The sequence below is a fragment of the Homo sapiens genome, chromosome 7, assembly GCF_000001405.40.
Source record: "Homo sapiens chromosome 7, GRCh38.p14 Primary Assembly".
NCBI lineage: Eukaryota > Metazoa > Chordata > Mammalia > Primates > Hominidae > Homo > Homo sapiens.
The window spans coordinates 74,014,755-74,021,627 of NC_000007.14; positions in this window are offsets into that span (position 1 = coordinate 74,014,755).

Sequence of the window (6,873 nt, forward strand, 5' to 3'; positions counted from 1 at the left end):
GTCAAAGTGCCCAAAGTGGAACAAGAGGGACTTGAACTTGCGCCATGTGGACTCAGAGCCTCTGCTTTTAACCACAGGGGTGTAGTGGGAAGGGGGTGTCTGGGGAAGGGCGTGTCTGGGGAAGGGCGGAAGGTCCTGAGGCCGGCTCAGAGGGAGACAGGCATTGCAGGTGGGCAGAACCAGGGGAGGACCGAATGGTGCTGAATGGTGCCCGAACAGTCTCCAAGGACCATCATAGAAACCCAGGAGCCCCCCTGGTCCATTTCATTAGTGATTTGTGTTTTCACATCTTTTCATTTACAGGCCTTATTTGGGGACCTCTTTCTGCAAAGGTACTTGGAGAGAAACAGTACAACCTCAGAACCCCAGTTACCCACCAACTTCCTTTTTTATTTTCTTTTTTTTTTTTTTTTTTTTTGAGACAGGGTTCAATCTGTCACCCAGGCTGGAGTGCAGTGGCACGATCTCAGCTCACTGCAACCTCCACCTTCCAGGCTCAAGCGATCCTCCAGCCTCAGCCCCGCCAAGTAGCTGAGACTACAGGCACACGCCATTAAGTCTGGCTAATTTTGTGTGTGTGTGTGTGTGTGTGTGTGTGTGTGTGTGTTTTGTAGAAATGGGGTTTTGCCATATTGCCCAGGCTGGTCTCGAACTCCCGGGCTCAAGTGATCCGCCCACCTTGGTCTCCCAAATTGCTGGGATTATAGGCATGAGTCACCACACCTGGCCCCAAGTTCCATTTTTTAAAAATTTTATTATAATCCCACCCCAGGAACAGCTGGCTCACCAGATGGTAAGTGACTATCCCGTGAGATGGCTCCATTAAGTCCATACATTGAATATTGGAGTCAAGGGAGAAACGCAGAATTAGGCAGACATCAGACTAGATTGGATTCACCATCATATTCTCAATGCTCAGCACAGGAACAGAAATTAGTAGTTGCTAAATCAATATTTGCTGAATAAACAAGTAAGTGCCTTTCTGTTAAATGGGTAATAGCCAAGCTTCTAAACTATCTTATTATCATTATTATTATTTTTTTTCTTTTAGAAACAGAGACTCACTCTGTTGCCCAGACTGGAGCGCAATGACGTAGTCATGACTCACTGCAGCCTTGAGCTCCTGGACTCAAGTGAGCCTCCTACCTCAGCCTCCTGCATGGCTGGAGTACAGGCATATACCACCATACCCAGCTAATTGTTTTGTTTGTTTTTTGCAGAGATGGGGGTTTCGCTATGTTGCCCACGCTGATCTCTAACTCCTGGCTTCAAGGAATCCTCCCACATCAGCCTCCCAAAGTGCTGGGATTACAGGCGTGAGCCACTGCGCCCAGACAAACCATCTCTGTTAATTGATGCCTGAGTACCATTGAATGAATCATTTAAACTCTACTTTGGATTAATCCTAATAAGGGATTTAGACTAGATCAGGGTCATTTAAGACACAAAGTATAGGCCATACCTCCCACTTCTTGCTCCCAGCAGACATGACCCATTGACTGTGTGATTCCCGTCTGCTGAGACTGGATATCCTCAGAATCCTTCTTAACACCACTTCTGATGGCCATTGCCCATCAAACACAGTTGGTGACGGAACCTATCTGCCATACTGGTTGGAATGAGCTCCCCCAGCCCATTAAAGAGAGAGGCAGCTGAGAGAAATCCAGGCTGTAGGGAGAGTTTAGGGAGGAGTAAGGAGGGACTAGATAAGATGCTCTTTTTTTTTTCTTTTTTCTTTTCTTTTTTTTTTTTTTTTTTGAGAAGGAGTCTCCGTCTGTCACCCAGGCTGGAGTGCACTGGCACGATCTCGGCTCACTGCAACCTCCACCTCCCATGTTCAAGTGATTCTCCTGCCTCAGCCTCCCAAGCAGCTGGGACTATAGGCATGTGCCACCATGCCTGGCTAATTGTATTTTTAGTAGAGACGAAGTTTCACCTTGTTGGCCAGGCTGGTCTCGAACTCCTGACCTCAAGCAATCTGCCTCAGCCTCCCAAAGTGCTAGGATTACAGGCGTGAGCCACCTCACCCAGCCAGGGCTCTTTAAAGATTCCTAATTCCGGGCTGGGCACAGTGGCTCACACCTATAATCCCAGCACTTTGGGAGGCTGAGGGGGGCGGATCGCTTGAGGTCAGGAGTTCAAGACCAGCCTGGCCAACATGGCGAAACCCCATCTCTACTAAAAATACAAAAGTTAGCGGGGCACAGTGTCAGGCACCTGTCATCCCAGCTACTTGGGAGGCTGAGGCAGGAGAATCATTTGAACCCAGAAGATGGAGGTTGCAGTGAGCCGAGATCGCACCACTGCACTCCAGCCTGAGTGACAGAGTGAGAGTCTGTCTCAAAAAAAAAAAAAAAAAAGAAAAGAAAAGAAAAAGAAAGAGAGATTCCTTATTCTGGTCTGGGGACCCTCAGAGTTCCATGAATGGGTGAGCTTCTCCACCACCAGGAGAGGGAACACAAAAACCCACATGGAGAAAGGATGGTGGCCCCCAGCTTGCTGCCTGAATCCTAACAGGCGTTGGAACCAGCTCTCAGCCTGAAAACCACAGGCAGCTCAGAGCTTTTATTAATTCCAGGGGCTGGAGGAAGGGCTGGGGCCCTCGAAAGAGGCTGTGCAGCTGACGACCCAGGAGGGAAGAGTTTTTTTTCCAAACGCTGAGGCCACCACGCTTTGGGAAGGGTGAGGGTAGACAGGCCAAGTCCTGGCTCTGGGGGGATTTAAAATGCTGTGTCAACGTAGGTCATAGACCTAATTGTGAAAGGGAAAACTGTAATGTTTCTAAAATAAAGCTTAACAGATTATCTTCATGACCTTCAGGTGGGCACAGATTTCTTAAACAGGACAGATGAAGCACTAACCCCTAGAGAAAAGACGGATACATTTGACTTTGTTAAAATTAAGGAATTGTAGTCATCAAAAGACAGCATTAAAAGTAAGGCAAGCCAGGCAGGGTGGCTCATGCTCATAATCCCAGTGCCTTGAGAGGCCAAGGTGGGAGGATCGCTTGAAGCCAGGAGTTCAAGGCCAACCTGGGCAACATAGCAAGACCCCCATCTCTACAAACAATCAAAATAAATATAAATAAAGGCAAGCCAAAGATTGAGAGAAGATCTTTCTCACACAGATAGCTAACTGCAGAATTGTATCAACATAAAGAACTCCACGCATCATAAGGAAATATCAATCCTATTTTCAAAAATGTGCATAAGACGTAAAAAGTCACTTCACAAACAAGGATAATCAAATGCCCAAAAAGCGTGTGAGAAAGTGTGCGCCATCATTACTCATCAGGGAAATTAAAGTTAAAATCACACTGGGAGCCCAGCGCAGAGGCTCCCGCCAGTAATCACAGCACTTCGGGAGGCCAAGATGGGAGGATCACTTGAGGCCAGAAGTTTGAGACCAGCCTGGGCAACATAATGAGACCCCAAGTCCAAAAAATTTAAAAAGTAGCCGGGCGTGTTGGTGCACACCTGTAGTCCCAGCTACTCGGGAGACTGAGGCGGGAGGATCACTTGAGCCCGGGAGGCTGAGGCTGCAGTAAGCTATGATAGCACCACTGCACTGCAGCCTGGATAACAGAGCAAGACCCTGTCTCAAAAATAAATAAAATACTCTTATGAGTTGCATTAGCAGTTGCGTGAGCAGATGTCATCTGGCAAAAGTCAACATGACAACATGCACACACAGTGCCTCACATCCACAGATATACTGACACAGAGACACACACAGACACACTCACCCTCACTGCTACATCCCCAGCAGGCTTCAATCTCCTCTGGGAGGGGCAGGGGGCAGGAGGAAGACCATCCAGGCTGCCCCGGTGATTTCAAGGAGAGAGCACAAGGCAGAGAAAAGCAGTGTCTGCCCAGAGCCAAAAGCCAAAACCTGCATGAGGGGCCAGGGGGACCACCCCACTGAGCATGCTTCTTCCTCTGGGAGCTGGCAGGAGAGTTCAGGCAGCTGGATCTCTTCTGGATAAACAATGTAATGCAAACCCAGGGAATGAGAGCCTCAGACCCTGCAGGAGTAGACCCCGGGGTGCAGAGAAAGATGCAGACAAGAACATGGGGAGATGGACAGAGAGGGAGACAGAGATGCAGAGAGGGGTGGAGGCCGGGCGCGGTAGCTCACGCCTCTAATCCCAGCACTTTGGGAGGCCGAGGGGGGTGGATCACTTGAGGTCAGGAGTTCGAGACCAGCCTGGCCAACATGGTGAAAGCCCATCTCTACTAAAAATACAAAAATTAGCCGGGCATGGTGGTAGGCACCTGTAACCCCAGCTACTCAGGAGGCTGAGGCAGGAGAATTTCTTGAACCAGGGAGGCGGAGGCTGCAGTGAATGGAGACTGTGCTACTGCACTCCAGCCTGGGTGACAACCTGAGCGACAGAGCGAGGCTCCATCTAAAAAAACAAACAAAACAAAACAAAAAAAGAAAAAAGATTGAGGGGGATAATAGCACCACTCTGCTTGTCTGGAGATTAAACCAGTTATTGTAATAGAGGCTCCCAGCATGGTGCCTGACAACCAGTAGGAGGGCAGTTCAGGCTGAAAGCTAAAGCCATTTCTCGCCTCCTCCAGGAAGCCCTCCTGGACTGACCCCATCTGGCACTGCTTCTGCCTGACCTCCCGCCCTAATCCCCATTATCACTTTCAGGTGGTTTTTTTTACACCAGTGAATTCCCATACACAGTTCAGGGTAGGGGGACAAGGGCTCCCACCAATTTGGGCTCATGGAAGACGAGTAGGTAGCCCAGCATGAACCAAAGAAAGGGCCGGGGACAATCACATGCCCCTTGCCGGGCATCATACTCAGACCGTCTAGTAACACAGTGTGACTTGGAAGGACCTCTTAAGAAGTCAGTGGAAGTGGGGGCTTTTCTCCTAACCAGGATATTTTGAATATGGGTCTGGGAGGGGCCCCCAACTCCGGAAACCCACCCTTCCAGCCCAGGCACAAACCTAAATCAGAGAGGTTTGCTTTCAGGAGAGGGCAAGGGAAGGTTTGCAATGAGCGTGCTGATGGTTGAGAAAGGAATCAGGGCATCTGCAGGTCTTAGCTCCAGGATATTCCCTTACTGCACTTGGGGCTGGGAGGAAGGAGGAGGCCCCCTCCCTCTCCCAGTTTCCCACAAGTCTTCTGTTATGGGCTGAATTGTGTCACCCCAAAATTCACGTGTTGTCCTCTGAGTCCCCCAGGACCTCAGAATGTGACTGTATTTGGAGATAGCGTCTTTTTTTTTTTTTTTTTTTTTTGAGACAGAGTCTCATTCTGTTGCCCAGGCTGGAATGCAGCAGCCTGATCTCAGCCTCCCAAGTAGCTGAGATTACAGTTGTGCACCACCAGGCCCGGCTAATCTTTGTATTTTTGGTAGAGACAAGGTTTGCCATATTGGCCAGGCTGGTCTCAAACTCCTGACCTAAAGCGATCCACCTGCTGTGGCCTCCCAAAGTGTTGGGGTTACAGGCGTGAGCCACTGTGCCTGGTCCTGTCCTTGGGATTCTGAGGATCTGAACCCATTGATTGTCCCCCTGGGAGTCTGGAGGGCTTATGGGGCCAGGAGCAGACATGGCCCCACCTGAGAACCATGACCCCACCTGTGATCCAAGCTGGGGGCCCAAGACCTCAGCACCAAGCTCTTATCTGCTTGGCAGGAGACTGACCTGTGACCACCAAGGGGGCTAGGGAAGTGTGTAGCAATAGAGGTCTCCCCCCATCCCTATTCATTTTTTTTCACTCACACATTCACTCAGCTGCATTGCAGATGCTTGCTATAGGAATGACAACAGCCCTCAGGGTAGACAGAGAGAATGATGTGTAAATAGTCATGGCAACCGTGCCTTTTAGACTTTTTGACAGTGCTGAGCCGAAAAACAATTCATCACGATCCAGTACACACATGCAAACACATAAACTTAAACAACGGTGTAGGCCAGGCGCCATGGCTCATGCGTGTAATCAGGCCGAGGCGGGAGGATCGCTTGAGGCCAGGAATTTGAGACCAGCCTGAGTAAGATACTGAGACCCTGTTCCTTTTTTTTTTTTTAATTAATAACTTTAAAAAAAATTAGCCAGATGTGGTGACATGCACCTGCAGTCCCAGCTACTCAGGAGGATCACTTGAGTCCAGGGATTCGAGGCTGCAGTGAGCTATGATCGTGCCACTGCACTCCAGCCTGGACAACAGAGCAAGACCCTGTCTCAAAAGATAGGAGAAAGAAGGAAAAAGAAAAAGCGCAAGAGACAGTGCTAAATTTGATCACTTGCGCTTATTCTATTCTATTCTTTTCTATTCTATTTCACTCCATTCAATTCTATGACAGCCCATCCCATCTGAAAATCCTGTTCCTGGCCGGGCACGGTGGCTCACACCTATAATCCCAGCACTTTGGGAGGCCGAGGTGGGCAGATCGCTTGAGGCCGGGAGTTCGAGTCCAGCCTGAGCAACATGGTAAAACCCTGTCTCTACCAAAAAATACAAAAATAAGCTGGGCACAGTGGTTCCTGCCTGTAATCCCAGCCATTCAGGAGGCTGAGGTGGGAGAATTGCTTGAACCCAGGAGGCGGAGGTTGCAGTAAGCTAAGCCTGGGTGACAGGGTGAAACCCTGTCTCCAAATAAATAAATAAATGAAAATGTCATTCCTGGCCCACTAAAGTGATTCCAAGCCTCACTAATGGGTCACAACCTGAAATTTGAAAGGCGCTGATTGAGTGAAAGTCCTTCATAGGAGCCCTGAGGTGACCCGGGCCAAGTAGGAAGGACCAGCGTCCTCTGAGAGTCTGTTACCGGCAGGCTTTAAGCAGGGCACGGACACATGGGGTCTGTGCTCTCAGAAGCTCCCTGCAGGCGGCTGTGTGGGTGGGCA